Raw genomic sequence first — 27,524 nt, 5'->3', positions numbered from 1 at the left:
AAAATAGGTAATACAGTCATATGTTTCAATATTCAAAACGTACAAAACAAGGATAGACCCAAACATCTCCCACCTTCCTTTTCCAGCCATTGAATTCCTCTCCCTGGAAGTTTGATCTTAGCAGTTTCTTAGACCTCCTTTCAGAAATACATTAGGTTTAGATAAAGCACATGCATATACAGTTTCCCCATATGCTCTTTTATTTTTAAACACAGATGGCAATACATACTACATACCTTTGATTTTTTTTTCTCTATCCTATACCTAGGAGATCATCCAACCTAAGTATATCAAGTTTTCTGAAGATGGCTTTTTTCCTGTATTATATTGAGTACCTGCACCATGATGGATATAATCAGACCCCCACTCATCAACAATGCTGCAAGTGCCAACCTTGGAGAATTTTTAATTGGTTTAGAAATGATGTGAGTTTATCTGTACGACAAAGACCTAGAAGCAGAACTGCTGAGGCAAAGGGAATGAGGTGACGGCATAACAGCATACTAAGAGTGTCCCCATTCCACACAAGCCGTTTCTGACTTCCACTTCAGAGATGAGGGTTAACTGTCCTTGGATTTCAAATAAATGGAATCATAAAATAGGTACTCTATTGTGTCTAGCTTCTTTCATTTAACAATGGTTTTGAAATTCATCTACAGTGTTTTTTTATTGCCAGATGGTATTCAATTGCGTGACTATATCGCACTTTGCCCATTCTTATGTTGAGAGATTTAAGTTGTTTCAAGTTTTTGGCTATAATGAACAAGCCTGCTATAAACATTTTTGTACAAGTGTTTTTATAAACATAAAAAGAGTCTTCCAAAGTAGTTAAACCATTTATACTTTTATTAGAAATTTATGGAGTTCTAGTTATTCCATATTCTTGCCAACATTTGGTTACTCTTTTAATTTTAGCTATTCCCTAAGAACAGGGCATGGATGTCTACTCATACATTTTGATTCAACACTGGACTACAGGGTCTAGCCAATACAATAAGGCCAAAAAAAAAAAAAAAAGTACAAAGTTGGTAAACATAGTAAAATTGTCAGACATTATATTCACAGACATTGTGATATATTTTATATCACGGAGTCCATCAAAAATATTCTTGTGTAACTACTGCTCAGAATAAGACGCATGACATCTCCAATGACCAGAAGGTTTCCTCATGCCCATTTCCAGTTAACTACTGTCCCTATCCCAGGCAAAACATGAAGTCTGTAATTTAAAAAAAAGAAAAAAAAAAGCTCAAAATAAGAAAACTTACAGTCAATATAATTATTTATATGGCAGGTTTAATGTTTCCCATTTTGGTATTTGTTTCTCTGCTCTTCTTTTTCTATCTTCTTTGGATAGATCAAATATGGACGGCAGTATTCAGCTTCTTAAAAAAAAGAATTTTTTTTTTTTTTGAGATGGACTTTCGCTCTTGTCGCCCAGGCTGCAGTACAGTGGTGCCACCTCTGCTTACTGCAATCTCCACCTCCCAGGTTCGAGCGATTCTCATGCCTCAGCCTCCCAAGTAGTTGGGATTACAGGCACCCGCCACCACACCCAGCTAATGTTTTTTTGTGTTTTTAGTAGAGACGCGGTTTCACCATGTTGGCCAGGGTGGTCTCAAACTCCTGACCTCAGGTGATCCACCTGCCTCGGCCTCCCAAAGTGCTGCGATTACAGGTGTGAGCCACTGAGCCTGGCCAAAAAAAAATTTTTTTTTAAAGAAGTGTAATGGCACAATAATGGTTCACAGTAGCCTTGAACTCCTGGGCTCAAGCAATCCTCCCACCTCAGTCTCCCAAGTAGCTAGGACTAAAGGTGTGGCTCATAAAATCCAGCTAATTTTTTCATTCTCTTGTAGAGACAGGGTCTCGCTATGCCACCCAAGCTGGTCTTGAACGTCTGGCCTCCAGCATTCATCCCTTAACTTGGCCTCCCAAAGCACTGGGATTATAAGTGTGAGCCATGGCACTGGGCCCTCGATTTTATGTCTTGTGTTGGATTTTCAGCTATACCTCTCTGTGTGTCTCTATTTTTTCAATAGTTTCTCTAGAGATTACAGTATGCATCTTTAAATTTCAATCTACTTCCAAATATTATACTATTTCATGAACAATGTAAGACTCTGCCAGCTGAATTCCACATATTCATATATTTCCCTCCCATCCATTGTGCTCCTGTTGCCTGTTACTTAACTTCTTCATATGTTACAAACAAACAATATAATTGTTACATATATATTTAAAGCCAATAGTGTTTTTAGCTGGATGAAATAGGCTCCTGTTAATATTTCTTGATATGGGCCTACTGTAGACAAACTCAGCTTTTGTCTGAAAATGTCTCCATTCACCTTTATTTTTGAAGAAAGTTTTTGCTGGATACAGATTAGTTGGCAGGTTTAATTAATTAATTATTGCTGGATACAGAATTAGCTGGCGGGATTTATTTATTTATTTATTTATTTATTTATTTATGATGGAGTCTCACTCTGTCGCCCAGGCTGGAGTGCAATGGCATGATCTTGCTCACTGCAACCTCCGCCTCCTGGGTTCAAGTGGTTCTCCTGCCTCAGCCTCCCAAGTAGCTGGCATTACACGTACCCGCCACCACACCCTGCTAATTTTTGTATTTTTAGTAGAGACAGGGTTTTACCATATTGGCCAGGCTGGGTCTTGAACTCCTGACCTCAGGTGATCCACTTGCCTTGGCCTCCAGAAGTACTGGGATCACAGGTGTGAGCCACCACACCCCGCCTATATATATATATTTTTAAACTATGTTAAAGATGCTGTATCATTATACTCTGACCTCCACTGTTTGTGCTGAAAAGTCAGAGATAATTATTATCACTGTCCTCCTGTATATAACATGTTTTTTATCCCTCTTCTGATTGCTTTTAAGATCTGCTCTTTATTTCCGGTTATCAGCAGTTTGACTATGATATACCTAGACTGTGGAGTTGTGGTTTGTTTTGTATTTATCCTGACGAGTTTGCAGAAATTATCAGATTTATACATTGATCACTTCCATCAATTGTGGAAAGCTCCTACCTTTTATCTCTTGAATTATTCTTTTCCTTTGTCCTTCTCCTTTCTTTCAGGGAAGCCAATTGTGAAACTGACAGCACCTTACAGATTTTGGATGTCTTTTAAAAATATCTTTCTCTTCTCTTTGCATTTCAGTTTGGATACTTTCTACTTATCTGACTTTATATGGACATTTTATAAGATGACTGGACACAGCAGAGGAGAGGGTCAGTGAATCAGATCAAGATTTTTAAGAGATTCCTTTGCTTTGCAGCTCCACCCATGGATTCTTGCACCTTGGCTGCTGTCACCCTATGCCCAGCAAAAGTAGAAATTCCTGTGAAGAGTTTGCTCTGAGCTCACCTGCCCCACTTCAAGTCTCCACAGTTAAGAGCCCAACTGTTCCCATCTATGGCAAAGTTTCCCTGTCCCTCTGTTTCAATAGAGGATGAGAGCAGCTACGGCTCTCTTCTGAATGGTCTATCACTTATTGAAGTTTAGTTTATTTAGGTTTCTTTGTGTGCTCAGCTGCCTAATGGGCTTTTAAAAACTTATCTTGCTTGTTTTGGCTGTTTGGGTGAGAATGATGGTCTCTTGTGACTTTTTATGAGTTGGAAAGCATAGTGGATTGTTTAAAGGACTGAGTTATTACATTTAAAGGATATAATATGCCCATCGTTATCATTACTACTTACATTTGATAATTTTTGCTAAGTTGTTGTTTACAGTGGTTGTACGAAGGACTTGTTAAATGCTCCCTTATGGCAAGGCAGAACAAGGTACTTGGGGATGACCGAGGAGAAAGAGGAGTTCAGTGGTAGATATGTGGAGTCCCAGGTGTCTCTGTTTAAATACCCGTCACCTGGAGTCACTAGAGAAAGGTGGCCATCAAAGTGCTGAGTGTGAATGAAATCACCTAGGAAGAGACACAGACTATGCAAGAAATTCTGTTGTGACATTTTAGGGGTGGACATTGAAGCCAAGAAACACAAGAAGGAGGAAGCCCCAAGAGGTAGAAAGGAGAACCAGAACCGTATCCCAGGAAACCAAAGGATTAAAAAAAAAAGTCAAGATAATGCCAAATACTTCTAGAGGGCAAATACAATAAAAAGCGAATTATATTTGTGGTTTATATTTAGTCAAACTCTACAACAATGGTGTTTCAATGGAATAATGGGGGTAAAAGCTGATAAGAGAACGGTCAATAAGAGATTGGTTAAATAGACAATAAATGTATATAATTATGAAAATCTTCAATAATAATTTTTTACTGAGCGTCTATTGTGGGCTGAGGATACAGCTGTCTGTGGTCATTTCAGATACGGTTCCTCTTCTCATACAGCTTATAATCAAGTGGCAGGAACTGACAATAAATAAACAAATAGATGATTATAGATTTTAATATTTACTACGAAGATTAAAAAAAACACTGTGTGGTGATAGTGACTGGAGTGGCAATTTGAGATAGGATGATAGCAAAAACTTGGAGGAATCCTAAAAGGGAAGAAGATCCAACCATTCCAATATTTAGAGGGGGGAGAACATTTCAAAAAGAGGAAACAGTAAATACAGAGACCTTGAGTTGGGTCTCTGTATTTCTTTTCAAATGTTTGAAAAGAAGGGCCATGTGGCTGAAATGCAGTAAGAGAGGAAGAAAGTGATAAAAAATCAAGGTGAGGACAAACCACCAGCGTTGGCTAGAAGTGACAGAGGATGAGGTTCAGGGCTGCCAGTGTGGCTGGAAATAGAGAGGGGATGTTCTAGAAAAGAAGGAGCTGCAAATCCATACACAGACTCCTCTCAGAGCCACAGCTGATTCCTATAATTGCACATGCAACTGGGGAGATGCCAAGGAGTCCAATGGACAGCAACAGCTGGAAGGCCAAAAAAAGAGCTGAGCAGAGATTTCAGTTGTTTCCAACTGTAGGGGAGAAAAGTTGGGAGTTTAAATCCTGCCAATCCAGAGGCTCACTGGACACCTTCAATGATAATGAGGTAGGCCATATCTCAGAAGCAAAGATAGTGTCCCAAGAATAAGGATTTGTCATAAGGCGACATCCCAACACAACCGTCTGAACAAAGTGTTAAGATGAAGCTTCCACAAGTTCAAGATGATTAGCCCATAATTTAACATTCTGTTAAAACAAAACAGCACTCTTCAGTGGAAGATACGAAAATCTAAAATCTTTGCAGCGTATCTTCTGCAGTGTCCAGTACAATATAAAAAACTACTAGATAATCCAAGAAAATGTGACCCAAGGTCAAGAGAAAAAAAAAAGTAGATGTAACAGATCCTGAGATGATCCAGACGCTGGAATGAGCAGATACAGATGTTAAAAACAGCTACTATAAATATAATCTAGACTTAAAGAAAGTCATATTGAGTGAGCAGATGGGGGAACTATGCATGTAAAATATATAAAAGAACCAAATGAAAATTCTAGAATTAAGGACAGTATCTAAATACTGGGGGAAAAATATTAGACACACTGAACAGAATAGTCATCCTTCAGTATCCGCAGGGGACTGGTTTCAGGACCCCCCACGAATAAAAATTTGCAAATACTCACAACTGTTGTATAAAATGATATAGCATTTGCATATAACCTACATGTATCCTCTCATATACTTTAAGTCATCTCTAGATTACTTACAATACCTAATACACTGTAAAAGCTAAGTAAATAGTTGCTTTATCATTTAGGGAATAATGACAAGAAAAAAAAGTCTGTATATATGTTTAGTACATGTTTAGTACATATACAGACTCTTCCCCCCCAGATACTTTCAATCTGTGGTTGGTGGAACCCCTGGATGTGAAACCCATGACTAAAGAGGGCCAACAGATTTGGAGACACTGTAGAGGAATCAACTAAGATAAAGACAGATCAAGAGAAATTATGTGATTGTTAAGAATAGAGAGAAAAAGATGGGGGTAGGGAAAAGGACACAAACTCAGAGCCTCCATGGCCTGTGGTATAATATCTAGCAGTTTAACATACATACAATTGGAATCCCATAAGAGGACCAAGAGAATGGTGCAAAACAGATACTTAAAACAATTTGGATGCAAATGTCCCAAATTTTGTAAAACTAATCAAATTTCAGATCTAAGAAACGCAGTGAACCCAGAGTATATTACACATTTAGCATATTAAAGTAAATTACTGAAAACAAAAGATAAAGAATAGGTCTTAAGAGCAGCCAGAGAATGAAAAGGCATTACATATAGGGTAACAATATGAAGGAGGATGACGCCACTCAACAAAAACAACGAAGGCCAGGATAAAACAGAATGACACAGTAAAGTGCTGAAAGAAAAAACATCTGAAATCTACATCTAGCAAAAACATACCTCAAAAGTGAGTATGCAGCCAGGTGCCGTGGCTCATGCCTGTAATCCCAGCACTTTGGGATGCTGAGGCAGGCAGATCACGAGGTCAGGAGATCGAGACCATCCTGGCTAACATGGTGAAACCCCGTCTCTACTGAAAATACAAAAAATTAGCTGGGCATGGTGGCAGGCGCCTGTAATCCCAGCTACTCAGGAGGCTGAGGCAGGAGAACAGTGTGAACCCAGGACGGGGAGCTTGCAGTGAGCCGAGATAGCGCCACTGCACTCCAGCCTGGGTGACAGAATGAGGCTCTGCCTCAAAAAAAAAAAAAAAGGGAATATGCAATGCAGACATTACCCTAGGTAAACAAATACCGAGGCGATCTTGTCACCAGCCCTGAATACATGAAATGCTCAAAGAAATTCTTTAGACCATCGGTAAATGTCATCAGATGAAAACTCAATTCTACAGGAAGGAATGAAGAGCAATGGTAATGCTAATATGTGTGTAAAATAAAACTACTTTTGCTCTTCCTCCTTTCTTCCTGTTCTTTTTTTTGAACAATTATTTAGCCCAAGAGTTGCTAGTAGGTAGGCCAAGCAGGTAGGTATTCTTGAGTATGGAAGGTGGAAGGGAGCCATGGTGCCCAGAGCAGTGTATCAAAGCCTGACTAAAGTAAGGACTACCTAAGTAGGGAGGAAAAGAGAGCTAGGGCTGGTTTGGGAAATCCTAGATCCTGTGAAGAGGGCATCCACAACACAATGTTATCATCTTTTTTTAAACCTCAAATAGCCAGTTGTCTTTAAATGACATTGTGGGGGGCGGCGGGAAATACAGTAAAATAGCCATCATTTTAAAAATTTGAAATAATCTCCAACTTCAGAAAAGTTGCAAGTACAATATAAAGAATGTAGCTGGACACTGGTTCACACCTGTAATTCAATCTGAGAGGCCAAGACAGGAGGATTGCTTGAGTCCAGGAGTTTGAGACCAGCCTGGGCAACATAGCCAGACCCTGTCTCTACAAAAAATAAAAAAAATTTAGCCATGTGTGTTGGTGTGCACCTGTAGTCTTAGCTACTTGGGAGGCTGAGGTGGGAGGATCGCTTGAGCCTGGGGGGTTGTGACTGCAGTGAGCTGTGATCACACCACTGCACTCCAGCCTGGGCAACAAAGTGAGACCTTGTCTCAAAAAATATATATAACATTTTTTTCGCAAATAGTTGAGAAAAGTTGCAGGTATAGGATTTACCCATTTGATAGTGAGTTGCCTATTGCCTTTGAATGTTAGTGTAGATTAATTACAATCAAGATTATTTTCTTATGTAAAGCAGAGTAAGATAATCAAAACTGTGAACTTAACATTGACATATTACTACCATCTATTCCTCAGAACCCATTTGCGTTCTGCCAATTGTCCTGATAATATCCCTTTGGCAAAACATCTAGTTCAAAAGCACATGTTGCGTTTAATTGTTATGACTCTTTATAGTTTCCTTCTATCTGGATCAGTTTCTCAGTCTCTCTTTGACTTTTTAGACCTTGAGACTTTTGGAGATTGTAAGCCAGTTGTTTTGTCAAACGTTTATCAATGTGAGTTTGTCTGATGTTTACTCATGATTAGATACAGATAATGCTATAAAATAAGTTAAACTTTTGAAATTCAATTAATGTAATTCACTCTTTTTTTTGGATACTCTTACTTTCAAGCATGGAGGTTATTCCCTACTCCCTTGAGTTTGGGATTGGTTTAGTAACTCCCTTCTGAACAGAAGCCATGGTAGATGACTCCCAAAAGTAGGTCACGAAAGGCACTGCAAATTCTTCCTTGCTCTTTCTCTTGAATCATTTGCTCTGTGGAAAGTTAGCTACTTTGTTATGAGGACACTCAAGCAGCCCTATGGAGAGGCTCAAAGGGCAAAGAACTGTGGAACTGAGGCCTCCAGCCAACAGCCATGTGAGTGAGCCTTGCTGGAAGAGGATCCTTCAGATAACTGCAGCCCTGCCTGACATCTTGATTGCAACACCATCAGAGTGGGACAGAACCATATGAGCTAGGCCACTTGGATTCCTGATACACAGAAAATGTGAGATAACAAATGTTTGTTGTTTCAGGCAGGTAAATACTGGGACGATTTGTTACTTAGCAATATTTAATACTGTAACCCACCATATTAACATAAGAGAAAAACAAAATAATCTAAATAGATGCAAAAAATATCAAGACAAAATTCAAGACCTATTCAATTTTTTTGTTTTTTTGGAGACAGGGTCTCACTATATTGCCCACACTGGTCTCAAGCGTTCCTCCCACATTGGCCTTCCAGAGTGTTAGGATTACAGGTATAAGCGACTGTGCCCGGCCACAAGACCCATTCTTGATAAAAACTCTCAGCAAACCAGAAACACAAGAAAACTTCCTCATCCTAAAAATTGGCAACCTATAACTAACATCAAACTTACTGGTACAATACTGAATGTTTTCCCCCTAACATTGGGAAAAGGTAAGGATGTTGGCTCTCACCACTTATTCAGTATGGTAACAGAGGTCCTAGCCTGTGCAACAAGGCATGGAAAAAACTAGAAGGAAAGGAAGAAGTCAGCCTTTATTTTCATACAACATGATTGTGTATGTAAATAATACTAAGGAGTCTACAAGACTCCATATTAAGTTATAGAAGCATCTACCCTACCAACTATCAATTCTACTCTAGTTCCCAAAGGAAATGAAAACCTATGTCCACAAAAAAACCTTAAAAGAATGTTCATAGCATGTATATTCATAATAGTCAAAAACTGGAACTTGGATGTCCTCAACTAGGGGGAGGAATAGACAAATTATGGTCTATCCATATAAGAGAATATCACTCCTCAGTTTAATAAAAAACAAAACAAAACAAACAAACAAAAAACTCTGGGACATGCAACAAGGTTAAATCCGCAAAACATTATTTCATGAAAAAGAAATCAAGACACCAAAGATTATATACTGTGTTATTGCATTTATGTAAAATTCAAGAATAGGGAAATTTATCTATATTGATTAAAATCAACTCCCCATAAGCAATGGTGGTGCTTATGGAGAGTATGATTCACAGAGGGAACTTTCTGAGGTGATGCAAATTTCTGCATTTTGATTAAGGTGGATGGTACTTATATGGAATCTACGTTATCAAAATCAAATCATAAGCTGCTTACAAGAGACCTACCTTAAATATAAACATACAGAAAGTTAAAAAAAAACAAAACAGGAAAAAGATCCACCATGCAAACGCTGACAAGGCAAAACACATTCCTAGAACTAAAGAATATATTTCACAATGTTACAAGGTTTGCTTTATCAGTAAGATATTAAATTCTAAATCTGTATGTATGGAATGTAGGTGCAAAATAAAGCAAAAGTGATAGAATGAAAAGGAGAAATAAATTTACAACCATAGTGACAGATTTAACTCATTCCTCTTAGTAACTTATAAAGGCAGGTAGGCCAAAAACCCAGCAAAGACAACAGAAAAAATGAACATGATTAGTAAACTCGACCTAATTCCATTCAGAGAACACAGCACTAACAGCTGTAGAGAATACAACCTTTTCAAATAAACATGGAACATTTACCAGGATGGACTATACGCTGATCCACATAGCAAACAGTACCAGACTTCCAAGGATTTATATCATACAAAATATGTTCTCTCACCTCAAAACAATTATGTCAATAATCATTAACAAAAAGTTAACTAGAAGATATCCCTGTTTGGAAACCGAGAGACATACATAGAAAAGGCATTTAGATCAAAGATAAAATCAAAATAGAAACTGGAAAATATTCTGAACTGAATGATGATGAAATGATCTATAAAAAAAACTTGTTGGATCCAGCAAAAGCCACAGTCAAGTTTTTTGTTTTTTTTTTGAGACGGAGTCTCACTCTCTCACCCAGGCTGCAGTGCAGTGGCGCCATCTTGGCTCACTGCAACCTCCGCCTCCCAGATTCAAGTGATTCTCCTGCCTCAGCCTCCCCAGTAGCTGGGATTACAGGCATGTACCACCACACCCAGCTAATTTTTGTATTTTTGGTAGAGACGGGGTTTCACCATGTTGGCCAGGATGGCCTTGATCTCCTGACCTTGTGATCCGCCCACCTGGGCCTTCCAAAGTGCTGGGATTACAGGTGTGAGCCACTGCGCCTAGCCTAAAGTTTTTTTTTTTTTTTTGAGATGGAGTCTCGCTCTGTCACCAGGCTGGAGTGCAGTGGTGTAATCTCGGCTCACTGCAACCTCCGACTCCCAGGTTTAAGCGATTCTCCTGCCTCAGCCTCCTGAGTAGCTGGGACTACAGGCGCACGCACCACCACACCCAGCTAATTTTTGTATTTTTAGTAGAGACGGGGTTTCACCATGTTGGCCAGGATGGTCTTGATCTCCTGACCCTCGTGATCTGCCCGCCTTGGCCTCCCAAAGTGCTGGGATTACAGGTGTGAGCCACCGGGCCTGGCGTACAGTTTTTTTTTTTTTTTTTTTTTTTGAGACGGAGTCTCGCTCTGTCACCAGGCTGGAGAGCAGTGGTGCGATCTCGGCTCACTGCAACCTCCGACTCCCCGGTTCAAGCGATTCTCCTGCCTCAGCCTCCTGAGTAGCTGGGACTACAGGCATGTGCCCCCATGCCCAGCTAATTTTTGTATTTTTAGTAGACACGGGGTTTCACAATGTTGGCCAGGATGGTCTTGATCTCTTGACCTCATGATCTGCCCGCCTCGGCCTCCCAAAGTGCTGGGATTACAGGCGTGAGCCACTGTGCCTGGCCTAAAGTTTTAAGATACAAGGAATACAACCGAGGAGGACTGAAAATCAGTGACAACTGTCTATCTCAAGAAGTTAGAAAAGGAACAGCATATTGAATAAGGACAAAAATAATAAAGATGGGAGTAGAAATTAGTGAAACAGGGAAGAGACATATCATAGAGTTGATCAAAGGCAAAACTAATATCAGAAATGAAAACGGGGTCTCCGTATAGAATCTTAACATCTTTATGTCAATAAATTGGAAAACGTATATGAAAGAGTCAAAATCCTTAAAAAAAAAAACCCCAATGTATTAAAACCAATACAAGAGAAATAGAAAATCTGAGTATCAACAACCTTACAACTGTGAAAGAAACTGACTCTCTAATCAGACTATCATACAAGAAGAACTTGAAGCCCAGATGGCAACACTGATGAATTTTACTCATCACTTAAGGAAGGAATAAGAGCAATTTTATACAGTCTCTTCCACAGAAGTTTCTCAACCAGTTTTATCAGGCAAGCACAGCACTGATGCCAAATCTGACATGCACATTATAAAAAAGTATTTATATGATAGTCTCCATTTATAAACATACATAAAAATTCTAAAAAATAATAACTAATTAAAGCCAGTGATATGTATTTAATAAAAATAACATGTCCTGACCTAAGTGTATTTATTCCATGAAAATTTAATGATATAATTTACCACATTAACATAAAAGAGTATAATTATGTGATTAGCCAAATACATGTAGAAAAATATTTTGATAAAGTCAACATTATGTTAAAAAAAAAATCAAAGATCCCAGCAAACAAAATAAAGGTGCTTCTGCTGGGCATGGTGGTGTCAATCTACAGTACTCCCAGCTACTCTGGAGGTTGAGGCAGGAGGATCACTTGAGCCCAGGTGTTCAAATCTATCCCGAACAACATAGTGACACCATGTCTCTTAAAAGAAAAAAAAAAAGAAAAAAAAAGAAAAAAAAAAGGGCACGTTTGTAATGTGATAGGAATATGTACAAAAAACCTATAGCAAACATAATGGTATGATGGTAGAAGCTACCCCCTAAGATTAGGATAATACCTAGTATTACCATTTCTATTGAACATTGAACTAGAGATCCTACCTGATCTCATAGAATAAGTAAAATGTTTAAGAATTAGAATAAAGATTAAAAAAACTAATTCCCAGGTGATATAAAAGTATACAGAGAACACAAAAAAATAATGTATAGAGATAAGCTCTATAAATTAGTGAATAAATTCAGCAAGGTTACTGGATATAACTTCAATTTTTAAAAGTCGTATTTCTGTATATAATCAACAAATAAAAAGAAAATGAAAATTTCAAAACAATGCCATTTACCATATTAACAGCATAAAACTGCACTAAACATATCAAACCCCTTGGAAAGATGTCCAAGTCCATAACACAGAGAAGTAGAAAAAAAACACTGAGAGAAACTCAAGAATCCTAATATATATGAAAGAGTAATCTATGTTCATATATTAGAAGATTCAGTATTATAAAGATACCATTTCTCTCCAGATCAATTTATATATTCAACACAAGGCCAATCAAAAACACAGTAGGGATTAGCGTGTTGGTGTGAGTGAAAAAGGACAAGATGATTTTAATGTTTATATTGAAACAGGTCAAGAACAGCCAAGACATTGCTGAAGAACAACACAGAAAATTCACACCACTGGACAGTAAGACTTAGTATGAAAAAAAATTAGAAATCGTGACAATGGCACAAGGATAGAAAAAAAGACTAATGGTCTCTTTGAAAGGTCATTTAATGCAAAAAAAATAAGTGTGTTGTGATTTCATAACATGTAGAAGTAAAATATGACCACAGCAGCACAAAGCCTGGGAGAAGGGAAACAGAAGGACGCTCTTGCGAGGTTCTTATATGTGAAACTGTTATTATTTGAACACAGACTGATATATCAAAGAAGGATATTATAAATTCTAGCAAATCATTAAAATAATAAAAACAAAGAGGTAAACAAGATAATAGTGGAAATACAATGGAATCATTAACATGGGGCCAAGAGAAAAATAAAGCAAGATGGTAGTTTTAAACCAAATAATATTGACAGTCATAATAAATAAAAATGATGTAAATCAGTGCTATACAACAGAAATTTGTTATGAGGATTGAAATGTAGCTAATATGACTGAAGATTTGAATTTTTAATTTTAACATGTGGCTAGTAGCAACTGTACTAGACCGTGGAGGTCTAAATAATTAAAAGGCAGAGACTGTCAGATTAGATATAAAAGCAGAGCCTATAATTCTATCTACAAGAAAGGCACTTGAAAAATACAGCTATAAATAGGTTAAATGTAAATGCATGGGAAGAGATAATCAAATAGAATGCCAAAGAGCTTAAATTAATATCAGACCAAGTAGAATTCAGAACGGCACTCTTACCAGGGACAAAAGAGAGACATTTCATGACGTTTGTAAAAGGGTCATCAAGAAAATCTAACAATGACGCCCGGTGAGGTGGCTCATGCCTGTCATCCCAGCCCTTTGTGAAGCCACAGCAGGAGGATGGCTTGAGCCCAGGGGTTTGAGACCAGCCTGGGCAGCAAAGTGACCCCAGCTCTACAAAAAATGAAAAAAATTAGCCAGATGTGGTGAGTACACCTGTGGTCCTATTATTCAGGAGGCTGAGGTAGGAGGATCACTTGAGTCTGGGAAGTTGAGGCTGCAGTGAGCTGTGACTGCACCACTGCACTCTAGCCTGACAGATGGAGCAAGACCTTGTTTCTGTTTATGTATATATAACACAGATACATTTAAGAGATATATAATTCATACATATAATATATATAATACATGACATGTATGTTATATAAAAATATATAAAAACAATGCTACATGCATATACACTCAATAACGAAAGCTTCGAAACATGAAGCAAAACCTGATTAAAAACAGAAATAGACAAATCTTTAATTAGAGCTGCTTCAAATACTCTTTTACTGCAAAATAAGAGAAAAAAGTTAGTAAAAACACTGGAGATAGGAGCAGTGCTATTAAATGAGCTAATTAACGTTTACAGAATACTCCACACATCAGTAGCGGAATGCACATTCTTTACTAGTGCACATGGAACATTCACAAAGACAGACCACATCTTAGGCTAGGAAACAAATGTCAGATATAAAAGGTTTGAAATAATACTGAGTATGTTCTCTGACCACAATAGACTTTTTTTTTTTGACACGGAGTTCTCACTCTGTCATTCAGGCAGGAGTGCAGTGGTGCCATCTCGGCTCACTACAACCTCTACCTCCTGGGTTCAAGCAATTCTCCTGCCTCAGCCTCCCCAGTAGCTGAGATTACAGGTGCCTACCACCATGCCCAGCTAATTTTTGTATTTTTTTTTTTTTTTTTGAGATGGAGTCTTGCTCTGTCACCAGGCTGGAGGGCAGTGGCGCAGTCTCGGGCTCACTGCAACCTCCGCCTCCAGGGTTCAAGCGATTCTCTTGCCTCGGCCTCCTGAATAGCTGGGATTACAGGCGTGTGCCACCACGCCCAGCTAATTTTTGTATTTTTAGTAGACACGGGGTTTTACCATGTTGGCCAGGATGGTCTCGATCTGTTGACCCCATGATCTACCCGCCTCGGCCTCCCAAAGTGCTGGGATTACAGGCGTGAGCCACTGAGCCCAGCCAATTTTTGTATTTTTTAGCAGAGACAGGGTTTCACCATGTTGGCCAGGCTGGTCTTGAACTCCTGACTTCAAGTGATCCACCCGCTTTGGCCTCCCAAAGTGCTAGGATTATAGGTGCGAACCACCGCACCTGTACCCGCAATAGATTTAAGCTAGAAATCGATACTTGAAAAATTTCTGGAAAATACCCAAAGAATTGGGAATTAGAAAATATATTTCTAAGACACCAATGCTCAAAGAAGTCACAAGAGAAATGACAGGGGCAACTAAATGAAAATGAAAACACAACATATCAAAATCCATGAAATTCACCTAAACCATCACTTAAAGGGAAATTTACAGTTCTAAATGCTCAGATAACAAAAACTGGTTCTTTGAGAAGACGAATAAAATTGATAAACTTATAGCTGGACAGTTCAGAAAAAGAAGTGAGAAGGCTCAAATCAGCACTATCAAAAATGGAAGGGGGGTATTGCTACAGATCCCAAAACATTAAAAGGATAAGAAGTGGATATTATAAACAACTTTATGCCAATAAATTAAAAAAAACAGAGATACGATGAACAAATTCCTTGAAGGACACAACTACCAACTTACTCAAGAAGAAATAGTTGCCTGAATAAGCCTTTACAGTATTTACTAAAGGAATTGAATCTGCAGTTACATATTTTCAGACAAAGAAAACTCCCTGCTCAGATGGTTTCATCTGTGAATTCTACCAAAACTTTAAGGAAGACGTAATACCAATTCTACACAAACTCTTCCAAAAAAGTAGAAGAGAAGACATTCCTCAACTCATTTGATGAGGTCCTGACACCAGAACTAGAGAAAGACTATTACAGAAAACTACATGGAGAGAAAAATCCTTGAAAAAATTTTAGTAAATCAAATCCAGCAATATATAAAAAATAATAATGCATAATGACCAAGAGAAATTTATCTTAGGAGTGCCAGATTGGTTTAATATTTCAGTATTAAACTCTCAATGGTTGTAATGCACCATTTTAACAGAAAGAAAAAGAATATGAACAGCTCAAAATATGTAAAATACCATCTAATAAAATTCAACACAATTCATGACAAAAAATCTCATTAATTCAGGAATAGAAGGGAACATCTTCAACCTGATAATGGCATTTATAAAAGACCTAGAGACAGCCATCAAATTGAATGGTAAAAGACTGAATGAATGGTAAAAGACCTACATTAACGGTGAATATATCATGTTCCTGGATCAAAAATGGAATAGTGTTAAGATGACAATTCTTCCCAAATTGGTCAAGAGATTCAATGTGTTCCCAATCAAGATCTCACCTGGCTCTTTTGAGGAACTGGGCACTGTGATTCTAAAATTTATATAGAAATGCAAAAGACCCAGAGGAGCCAGACATGAAAAACAAGAATAGAATTAGATGACATACACTATCTGATTCCAAGACTTTCTATACATCTACAGCAATGAACACAATATTGTACTGGCTTGAGGACAGATGAATAGACCAATGGGACAGAAAAGGAAATCCAGAAATACACCCATACACATATATAAACTCATAGGTGCCAAGGTGATTTAATTCAACAAATGCTGAATTCAACAAAAATGTTTAATTTTGATCAACTCCAGCTTCTTTTTATGCTTTGTTTTTTGGTGTGTCCTATATGTCCAATGTTGTTCTAGAACTTTTATAGCCTTATTAAATTTTGGTCTGTGATCTGTTTCTACTCGTTTACTTTGTGAGGTAAGGGTCAAGAATCTTTTTTTTTTCCATATGTCAGTCTAATCATCCTAGAAACAAATGACATGTATGTGTGTGTGTATACTAATTCCATTTATATAAAGTTCAAAACCATAGTGGGAGATTAAAAAATAACCTTTTAAAATTTAATTTTGTCATTTGCTAAGAAATAACAAATGCTTTCCATACGACATACACCATTCTAAGCAATTTTTATGTGTTTGAATTCAATTTCACAACAACCCTACAGATTAGATGCCAAGGAGGATTCCCAAATGTGCAAATGTAGGCACAAAAAAGTTAAATAACTTGTCCAATGCCACAGAGCAACTAAGTGCTAGAGCTGGGAGGTGAAGGCAGACAGCCTGGCTCTGAACACTATGGCACATTGACTCCCAATGAGAGAACTTTAATGGAAAGATGGAGGGAGGGCAAATGTGCACAAGGAGGTGGGAGGAGGAGGATGGCAAAATTCCCATCTTCCAAAGAAAAAGAATCAGTAGATACTGCCTTAAACAGGAGGCGGGGAGGAGAGAGGGATCAACAACTACCAGTACATGCTGAGTACCCCTTATCTGAAATGCTGACCAGAAGTGTTTCCGATTTTGGAAAAAAAAAAAGAAGGGTTTCTGATTTAGGAATTTTTCAGAATTTGGAATATTTGCATTATATCAGTTCAGCATTTCAAATCCAAAAATCCAAAATACTCCAATGGGCATTTCCTGTGAGTGTCATACTGTTGCTCAAAAAGTTTTAGATTTTGGAGCATTTTGTATTTGGGATACTCAACCTGTGCATGCATGTTACGAAAAAATTTGGAGAAAAAATTAGAAAGAATAGCTAAATGTGAAGGCAACAGTAAGCCTCCAGGGAATGGCTCAGAGTAGGGCACTGTTATACAACACTTAGCCTCGTAACACTATTTCAGGTTTTAAAAACCATATACACATTGCTTTGATACAAATAATTTTAAAATTTTAAAAAGATTTAAACATTTACAAAAGAATAGGCAAAATGCTGTGGCTCATGCCTAATCCTAGCACTTTGGGAGGCCAAGGCAGGAGGATCACTTGAGGTGAAGAGTTCGAGACCAGCCTGGGCAATGCAGTGAGACCTCATCTCTACAAGAAATAAAAAGAATTAGCAAGGCATGGTGATGCGTACTGCTCGTGCTATTGTTGTCCTAGCTACTCAGGAGGCTGAGCCAAGAAGATCGCTTGAGCTTAGGAGTTTGATGCTGCACTGAGCTCAAAGTGTCCCTCAGCCTGGGTGACAGAACAAGACCCTGTCTCTAAAAAATAGAAATAAAAAATTAAAAAAGAATAATAGGCCAGGCGTGGTGGTTCACGCCTGTAATCCCAGCACTTTGGGAGGCCAAGGCAGGCGGATCACGAGGTCAGGAGATCAAGACCATGGTGAAACCCCGTCTCTACTAAAAATACAAAAAATTAGCTGGGCGTGGTGGCGGGTGCCTGTAGTCCCAGCTACTCGGGAGGCTGAGGCAGGAGAATGGCATGAACCCGGGAGGCGGAGCTTGCAGTGAGCCGAGATCGCGCCACTGCACTCCAGCCTGGGCGACAGAGCGAGACTCTGTCTCAAAAAAAAAAAAAAAAAAAAGAATAATAACTACCATTTATTGAGTTCTAGTATCCATGGTACTTTCCTAAGCATTTTAAATACACCTCTCTTGGAATTCTCCTAACAATATGGAGCTGGTCCTATCATTATCCTTACTTGCTTATGAAGAAACAGATCAGAGACTAAACTGCCCAGGGTTGGCCAGGCACGGCGGCTCATGCCTGCAATCCCAGCACTTTGGGAGGCCAAGGTGGGTGGATCACCTAAGGTAAGGAGTTTGAGACCAGCCTGGCTAACATGGTGAAACCCCATCTCAACTAATAATACAAAAATTAGCTGGACGTGGTGGTGGGTGCCTGTAATCCCAGCTACTCGGGAGGTCGAAACAGGAGAATCACTTGAACCTGGGAGGCGGAGGTTGCAGTGAGCCGAGATTGCGCCACTGCACTCCAGCCTGGGCGACAAGAGCAAAACTCCATCTCAAAAAATAAATACATAAAATAAACTGCCCAGGGTTAACTAGCTAGCAAGTGGCAGAGCTGTGATCTAATCAAAGTCTAGAGTCCATGTCTCATCTCCATGAAGGAAGATGAAGCCCTAGAAGTCATATAACAGCAATAGAGAAGGAGGGATATTTGGGAGGTGGCTTGGACAGGAGCGAGTGACTTACCACTGGCTGAGGGGAGGAGATGGTGAGTTAGGAGGGATTTGAGAAGGATGCTGAGGTTGCTGGCTTGAGTACCTGAGGACAGTTGGTCCTTTCCTCTACCCCAAGGTCCATGGAAAGAGGAGGAGAGATCCAAGCCTCTGAGAGAGAGTTCACGAGCTCAGTGACATACATGGACAGTCCCTAGGTGTCTATGGGCCACCTGTGGGCACAGGCTCTATGGTGAGCAGAATCTGCAGGTCTAGAGCTTAAGAGGGAATTTGGTGCTGCTGCAGTAGGACTCACCCACGTGCAGGGAGCCAATCTTCTACTCTAGCACACTTGAGGAACACAATAGGCTCACTACACAATGGCTCACTACGGTGGTGATTTTAATGGGGGCCTCCTCTTCTTACAGCGTATGTGTAGTGTAGAGGAAGGGGGTTCCTGGAATCCTGGAAGAGGGACCAGAGACATGCATGTCTGAAAAAAAGCCTCAGCTTTGAAAATCCCTGCTGTGGTTGCAACTGGAGTTACATGACATCAAGCAAGAGGAGACAAAATGCAAATGGGCAGGAGTCTACCTCAGAACCCTGGGATCTGGACATACAAAGGGATGACAAGGCCGAAGGAGACCGAAGCAAAGTGTCCCTGGAGGTAAGAAGATGAACGAGGGGACCTGGTGCAGGGAGGGCAGGAATTCTGGGCAGTTCATGCCTGAGAGCCTCCCTCCAGTGTTTCTACCTGGTCCATCTCCCATTTACATTCTTTGCCTGGCCTTTGCTGACCCTGGAGTCTGCAACTTTTAGAGCCACTAACATGTACCTGAGTTTGCACAGACAATCAGGAATTTGCCAAGGAGACAAGGAAAAGAAAGGGCCCTGAGAGAGAATAGCATGTGCCAAAAACCCAGGTGTGGAACGGGTGCTGCTTGGTGTGTGCTGGGGAGGAAGTGAGCAACAAAAACATGGAGGAAGCACAGGAGAGATGAGGCTGGGCCCGGGCTAGGGAAGGGTTCCTCTGCCGTGGTTTTCACTGAGGGGATCAAACTTGTCTTTAATGAAGCTCACACAGCAACAATGAGGAGAACTGACTCCAAGTGGCAGAGCCAGGCCACAGAATAACTGGTTCTGAAATCAGCTCAATAGCCCCGGCAAGATAGGATGAGGGCTCAGATGTGAGGATGGGAAGGAGTCCCAGAGGGCCCTTTCTTAAATGGATATGAATGGGGTTTGGGGATTGGGCTGGGGGTGGGGTGAAGAGGGATATGATGACAGTACCACTACACACCACCACCATTTACTGCACACTTCCTATGCCCACTCTGTGTATGGAGTCACGGAATTCTCCTAAAACTCCCTATAAGGTAGGCAGGGCTATGACCCCCCGCCCCAACCTCCACAAGAGTGACCCTGTCACTTGCGCAGATATTCTCCCTGCTAGCACACAGTCAAGGCCCTAAGTCTAGGGAGCATGGTTCTTCAAGGCCCATGCTCTTCCCCATGATACGACACAGGCGAGCCCTTAGGGAAGAACACAGATACCGTGTGAGGTATGCAGGACTGGAGGAGGAACAAAGACGGAGTTCTGTAGGAGACTAGGTGCAAATCATGGGTTGGAGGCATGGGCTTGGAGGTCACATTATACAGGTGAAGGTGAGGTGTCCGAGGGAGGTGAGAAACATGGGAAGTCAGGACACAGCTTGGGGAAGACCAGCTTTTATCAAATCAGTATGAGAGGCCAGGAGACTGCAGTGAGAAAGCACGGTTATGAAGCAGGAAGGGAACTAGAGAAGACAGAGGAGCTTCAACTGAGAAGCAGGGATGTGTTCTGCAGTAAGTGATGTCGGCTCCTCCTCCGGACTCCAGGGCCCTGTGGACTGGTCCCTGCTGGCTCACCAACCACCCTGCCGTCTCTCCTGGTTCTTGCTGTGGGTCCTCCAGCCACCCCGGCCTCCTGACCCCTCTTCCAACCTCCCTTGCCCTCCCGCCTCACGGTCCTTGCTGTCCCTCATGCCCATTCTGGTTCTTTTCTACCCACCGTCCCTCACCACCACCAACTACTTCACTTCCATTCTTCAAAAACTTTTTTTTCTTTTCTTTTTTTTTTGAGATGGAGTCTTGCTCTGTCACCCAGGCTGGAGTGCAGTGGTGCGATCTCGGCTCACTGCAAACTCCGCCTCCCGCGTTTAAGCAATTCTCCTGTCTCAGCCTCCCAAGTAGCTGCGATTACAGGTGTGTGCCATCACATCTGGCTAATTTTTGTATTTTTAGTAGAGACGGGGTTTCACCATGTTGCCCAGGCTGGTCTCAAACTCCTGACCTCAGGTGATCCACCCGTCTTGGCCTCCGAAAGTGCTGGGATTACAGGTGTGAGCCACCGTGCACAGCCAACTTTGATTCTTAAACTTAATCCATTCATCTTTCAATATTTAAATGTCAGTGCTGCTAGGTGCTTCACACCTTTACTGATCACTGTAGGAGTCAGTTATCCCCACAGGCCCAGGTCAGGTCCCTGTCACATGTTTTCATAGTACTGCATATTTCTCCTTCATAGCACAGAAAAGGGTTGAATAAATCATTTCTGGCTGGTCGCAGTGGCTCATGCCTGTAATCCCAGCATTTTGGGAGGCCAAGGCAGGCAGATTACCTGAGGTCAGGTGTTTGAGAACAGCCTGGCCAACATGGTGAAACCCTGTCTCTACTCAAAATACAAAAATTAGCTTGGCATTGTGGCGGGCAGATTCCCAAATGTGCGCCTATAGTCCCAACTATATGGGAGGCTGAGGCAGGAGAATCGCTTCAACATGGGAGGCAGAGGTTGCAGTGAGCCGAGATCGTGTCATTACAATCCAGCCTGGGTAATAGAGAGAGACTCAGTCTCAAAAAAAAAAAAAGAAAAAGAATAAATCATTTCCTGTACACTAGTCATAATGTAGCTTCTTGTAGGTAAGGTCTACGAGGACAGAAGTCCATTTTGTCTAGATCGGGGTCAGCAAACTTGCTCTGAAAAGTACCAGATAGCAAATATTTTTGGGTTTGTGGCCCATCAAGGCTTAGTTGCAACTATTCAAGTTGGTCATTGTAGCCCCAAAGCAGCAAGACAGTAAGTAAATAATTGGGTGTGACTGTTTCAGTAACTCTTTATTTACAAAAGCAGGAGGCGGGCAAAAAGGCCACAGTTTGCCCACCCCTGGTCTAGGCACCAGCACCCAGTCTAGCACCTGGCATATAGCAGGCACTCTATGAATAAAGAAAACTACCAAGAAAAGGCCATTTGACTTTGGCTATTAGATGGAAACTGGTACCAGGGGAAGGTGGTTTTAGTGGCATGGCAGGGAGGAGCTGAGATGACGGAGGGCTGAAGAGTGAGCAGCAGTTGCGGAAGTGGTAACTTCTCTTTCAGGAGTTCCACCATCTGAGCAGTAGGTTGGGGAATGGGTGCTCTTGTGGTGGAGTGGGGTGGATTCGGAACCTGTGTGCAGGCTATGACAAGATGATAGGGCTGAGGAAGAAACAGGGTAACTCATGAAGAGGTGGGGCTCCAGAGCTCAGGGGCATGTTTGGGGTTGGTCACAAAGGAGGAAGCCACCTTCTAAAACTGAGGAAAAAGAAACAAAAAAAGGCAGAAGAAAGAAAATGAGGAGAAAGCCTTGTATGCTATTTTCCCTGTGAAAATGTGAGCCAAATCTCCTGGTGCAGAGAGTGGACTAGAGGCAGCTCAGGAGCCACAGGCATCTGGCAGATTGGGAGCTACTGGCAAAAAGGGAACAGTGGACACTCAGGATGGGGCGTGCCTCACCAAGATGCATGAAGCTACACCCTTCACTTTTCTCTCTTCTTATTTGAGAGAGCACTTCTAGCCAAGGTGGTGTCTGGGTGTCTTGTGGATTTTAGGTTTTCAGCTCTGACTCAGTGTGAAGTGTATCACTCACTGAATCACCAGCAGTACTTGCTGTCACTTCCCAACACTTCACTTTCCCATGCAGGTAGGGACAGGCAGGCCCTGAGAAGGATGGGGTCATGTTTTACATGTGTCATACCCAGCTCTTTCTTAAAGGACACGGAAAAGCATTTTAATTGCAGAAACTTATTGGTGAATTTCATCCCCATGCCTTCAAATGTGTAGGAGACCCACAGGGTTTAAAAAAGCAGATAGGCGGCCAGGCACGGTGGCTCACGCCTGTAATCTCAGCACTTTGGGAGGCCAAGGCAGGCGGATCACGAGGTCAGGAGAGAGAGACCATCCTGGCTAATACATGAAACCCCGTCTCTACTAAAAATACAAAAAAAAATTAGCCAGGCATGGTGGTGGGTGCCTGTAGTCCCAGCTACTCGGGAGGCTGAGGCAGGAGAATGGCGTGAATCCAGGAGGCGGAGCTTGCAGTGAGCCAAGATCGCGCCACTGCACTCCAGCCTGGGCAACAGAGCGAGACTCCACCTCAAAAAAAAAAAAAAAAAAAAAAAAAAAAAAAAAAGAAAACCAGCCGGAGTAACATGGTGCAACTCTATCTCTACTAAAAAATACAAAATTTAGCCAGGTGTGATAGTGTGCATCTGTGATCTCAGCTACCTGAGGTGGAAGGATGACTTGAGCCCAGGAGATTGAGGCTGCAGTGAGCCATGATTGTGCCACTGCACTCCAGCCTGGGTGAAAAAAAAAAAAAAAAAGCAGACAAAAAATATTGAACACATAGGCGAGGTGTGGCAGCTCATGCCTGTAACCCCAGCACTTTGAGAGGTTGAGGTGGGCAGATCACCTGAGGTTAGGAGTTCGAGACCAGCATGGCAAACACGGTGAGACCTTGTCTCTACTAAAAATACAAAATTAGCTGGGCATGGTGGTGGGCGCCCATAATTCCAGCTACTCAGGAGGCTGAGGCAGGAGAATCGCTTGAACCCGGGAGGCAGAGGTTGCAGTGAGCCAAGATTGCGCCATTGCACCGCAGCCTGGGCAAAAAGAGCGAAACTCTGTCTCAAAAAAATCCATAAATAACCTCTGACAGCAGGAGCTCATAATTTCTCAGGGGACAATCTTATGGCAGTTTCTCTCCTGGGCTGTAAAATATTTCTCTATTAGTCAAAGAATGATCTGCATGGAGCACAAAGGCCAATTTTATCCTAATGATGGATAACATAGATTTTTTCTTTAAATGCTGGAAACCATTTGAGGGTTTGATGATTAAAACTAGAGCACAGCACCTATTTAGTTTTATAAGGTTAACATAATATTAAAGCCTATAAAACACAACTTCTTATGTAGTCAAAGGATTAGTATTGCAAAATGAAAAGTTTTCTTATAGCGTCAAAAACATATGAACAATCAACTTTACTTATCCATAGAACCAGAGAACTGAAAAAACCTTCCATTTCAATATGAATTTATTAATTTATTATTACTACCAGTACAGGAATGTGTAAGGGTTCAGATCTCAACCTACTACTTTCAGGAAGGACAAAAACCATTTAAATGTCTTTTACTTGATATGCCTGAAAGAATAGCACCAGGATCTATTTTCATCTGCCTTATTTCAAGGTGTAATTGCTGTTGATATTTATAGACCGAAGCTTCTGTGTCTGTTCTAATAATTAGTAGAACTCCAATTCATATTTGCATTTTGAAGTTCTCACCCCCAACAAGTCCGAAGATAATTTTCCTAAAATACACAGATCCTCACTGGACTCTTTCAAGTCCTTCCAGAGATGATGCGAACCAGCGACTCAGAATTCAATGACTACAAAGCGCAGGGCCTACACCTGTAACACACTATGTATTTGGAAGGATTTTCAATGCACCTTTAGATGTGTATCAAATAAAAGTCTCTTACCCTATTGTTGGGTTGATGTTTGGATCAAAACTGTCTTCCACAAACCGCCACACAATACTCGATTTACCTACACCTGTATCCTGAAAGAGAACGAGATGAGGGACTGAGAAAAAGTTTACCTTTTGGCAGACACCAAAAACTACTTTGTGGCATAAGTTCAGGATTTTAGAAAAATCACCCTAGACGTGTAAATTTTATAAACGGAGGAACACAAAAGCGGTTGTCATAAAAATTCAGTAGAGTAATTAGGAAATTCCAACTGTACTAAAAGGGAGAGGTTTTTGCCGTTAAGACAGATTAGGACCTTTTGAGAGACCCAAAGTTTCTGCTTCGTGTAAAAAGTAACAAGTCCACTTGCTTTTTAACATATGTTAGTAAACTTTGAACTCCTGAGTTACCTCTGAGTAATCCCTGATGAATCCTAGCCCCACCCTATTTGGGGGAATAAAGATTAGTTATTGGAGTTCCTGCCGATCTTTAAGGCAGAAACTCTGGAATGACAGCATCAATTTCAGAAAGAAGGCTTTGAAATGGCCAACACCTTGTCTTTCCTGACAAGACAGGAAGCTGAAGCTTCAAACTAGTCTTTGGGGCTTCCTGATTTGAACACCCCTTTTCTCCACAGGAAGAGTTACTTGGCAAAGTAACTCTTTGGACAAGTGGCAGGGGTATCCCACAAGTTCAAAAACACCCAAGAGACAAAGTAGGCTAATGCTGCTTGTAAAACCTAAAGACCTGTTATTGGTTTTACTTTGGAAGACTTGGCCAACTCCCAACTAATACCTTGGTAAGTTGGGAGAAAACTATTTAAGAACCTCTCTTAACCCAGATGCAATAGAGAGGCAAGGGGGGGCTGTTTGCTCTTTGTGGGGCGGGAAGAGTCCACGGGCTCCAGGGAGGGGAAGGGGAAGGGTCCCTTCGGCCTCCAGGACCTTTTCGAGAGTGCAAGAGGTGGGCGGGACGGCTCCCGAGCTGGAGGGAGGGTCCACGGGGCTGGCAGACAGCGTCTTGGACGTGGGAGGGGGGAAGGGATGAGGGGACAGGGGGGATCCGGGGTCCCCGCCAGCCCAGCCTCCCGTGGCCCTCCCGGCCGGACCCGCCGCCACTCACCCCGAGCAGACACACTTTGAGCTCCCTCAGCGCCATGGCCCGGGAGCCAGGGGCGCGGGCCCGCCGCCGCCCTAAGTTGAGAAGGGAGAGGCCAGGCCCAGCAAGAGCATCCCCTGGCGCCGCTGCCGCCGCACGGCCCAGCCCCGGTCCGCGCAGAGGCGGCTGCCGCCCGTCCTCCGGCCGTAGGTCCGGCCTGTCCGCTGCCAGCCGCGTGGGGCCCGCCTTAGCAGCCGGGACGCCGCCGCGGCCTTCCGGGAGCCGCCGCCGCCGCCATCTTGGGACGCCGGCCGCGTCACCTGACCTCCCCGCCCACCTCGGCAGCCACCTTCGCTGAGAGGGCGGGGCCGGCCGGCCGGCGCGGATCGGGGGCGGGGCCCGAAGCCGACGGCCCCGCCCCTGTCTGCAGGGCCCCGCCCCTGTCTGCAGGGCCCCGCCCCTGTCTGCAGGGCCCCGCCCCTGTCTGCAGGGCCCCGCCCCTGTCTGCAGGGCCCCGCCCCTGTCTGCAGGGCCCCGCCCCTGTCTGCAGGGCCCCGCCCCTGTCTGCAGGGCCCCGCCCCTGCCGGTCCCGCCTCCATGCCCATCCCAAGATGGCGGGTGAGTGGGGCTGGGCTCGGGGGATGCCAGGGGTGCCCCTCTCTCTCTCGCCCCGTGACCACCCCGCGAGGCCGAGGGGCCCCTGCCCGACCCCGTCCCCTCTCGCCGCAGCCCCCTGGTAACTTCTTGTGTGTTTCTTGGTTTTCAGAGATCCCCCTGTACTTTGTGGACTTGCAGGATGACTTAGACGACTGTAAGTAAGAGTTGGGGCACCCCTGTCCCTCCCTGGGACCCTCTCAAAGAATTCAGAGTGCACGAAGCGCGGGGCGGGGGAACCTCAAGCCAGGCACTCCTTGTCGGGACCAGAACAGCGGGACCCCCAACTGCCTAGATCCACTGGTGGCGGTCCCTCCTCCCTGGGCGGGGCGGGCTGAGGGTGGGAGCCCTTCCCTTCCCTCGGGGGAAGGATTTTTGTTGTTGGGGAAACTTTGGACTCCCTGTCACTTCTTTTCTTCCTGCGCCTGCAGCTGCCGTGGGATGGGCGGAGGGGGTAGTCCCAAGTCCTAGTCGACCCTGGGCGGGCGGGGGGTCCGCCACCTGGGAGGTGGGTGACTTCCCTCTCAGGGCCTTGCCCTTTTCCTAGGGACTTTTTAGGACTGCTGGGGGGTTTGGGAGGTCCCCCTCTCGGTGTGGCCGGTCACGGAGTTGCACGGACTTCTCAAGTGTCCTGGCCACAAGCCCGGCTCCATCTCTTATCCCATGGAGCCCATTGGCCCCCGCATTTCTTGGGTGGGACCCTTGTCCCTTCTTGCCCTCTTTTTTGGAATCATGTTAAGGGCTGGTAGCTGGGGGAGGTGTCATCTTAGAAATCCAAGTTCGCATTTCTGGTGAAGGAAGGAAGCGTTTTCTCTCCTGTCAAGAAACTTACTGAGCAGCTATTTGCTCTGGGGGCCACGTGTTGGGCTCCGAACCTGCAAGGATGTGTTGAAAACAGCTCTACACGCAGGGAGCTCACAGGGTGTGGGGAGAGCCTACTTGTAAACAGAAAATTACCGAGCACCGGAGTGCTTGCTGGTGAAGAAGCCCTATATAAATCATCCAAATAGCTAACATTAATTGGGGGCGTACTGTACGCCAGTCATATACAGTACTTCCTCTCATCTTTCATTCCACATCTTCAGGTTTCCTAATAGTAAGAGTTGGTGTTTACTGAAAACTTACCATGGACCAGACAGCGTTAAACTCTTTTTTTTT

General features: G+C 42.5%; 1 protein-coding gene and 1 pseudogene across 2 annotated transcripts in view, besides 2 other annotated features; one reads left to right on the top strand and one right to left on the bottom strand.

Annotated features, from left to right (window-relative positions):
* The window catches only part of RAB22A (RAB22A, member RAS oncogene family), a 57,793-nt gene extending 31,759 nt beyond the window's left edge, over positions 1 to 26,034 (bottom strand). The window contains exons 1-2 of the mRNA NM_020673.3: positions 25,737 to 26,034; positions 24,627 to 24,706 (exon numbers count right to left, since the gene is read on the bottom strand). Of these exons, the coding sequence (NP_065724.1) occupies positions 24,627 to 24,706; positions 25,737 to 25,772 (116 nt within the window). The 5' untranslated portion in view covers positions 25,773 to 26,034. The remainder of the gene's footprint in view (positions 1 to 24,626; positions 24,707 to 25,736) is intronic.
* Positions 25,636 to 25,965: a silencer, noted in NCBI's record as "silent region_13071". NCBI's record gives its function as "represses an Ori minimal core promoter by ATAC-STARR-seq in GM12878 lymphoblastoid cells {active_cell/tissue: GM12878}" and the evidence as "EXISTENCE:reporter gene assay evidence [ECO:0000049][PMID:35858748]".
* Positions 26,006 to 26,565: a silencer, noted in NCBI's record as "silent region_13070". NCBI's record gives its function as "represses an Ori minimal core promoter by ATAC-STARR-seq in GM12878 lymphoblastoid cells {active_cell/tissue: GM12878}" and the evidence as "EXISTENCE:reporter gene assay evidence [ECO:0000049][PMID:35858748]".
* Positions 26,310 to 27,524, top strand: part of PPP4R1L (protein phosphatase 4 regulatory subunit 1 like (pseudogene)) — a 76,663-nt pseudogene continuing 75,448 nt past the window's right edge. Inside the window, exons 1-2 of the transcript NR_003505.3 lie at positions 26,310 to 26,330; positions 26,479 to 26,523. The product of NR_003505.3 is annotated as a protein phosphatase 4 regulatory subunit 1 like (pseudogene) (transcript). The remainder of the gene's footprint in view (positions 26,331 to 26,478; positions 26,524 to 27,524) is intronic.

Source organism: Homo sapiens, chromosome 20, assembly GCF_000001405.40.
Source record: "Homo sapiens chromosome 20, GRCh38.p14 Primary Assembly".
Lineage (NCBI taxonomy): Eukaryota > Metazoa > Chordata > Mammalia > Primates > Hominidae > Homo > Homo sapiens.
This window is presented reverse-complemented; position numbering and strand designations above follow the sequence as displayed.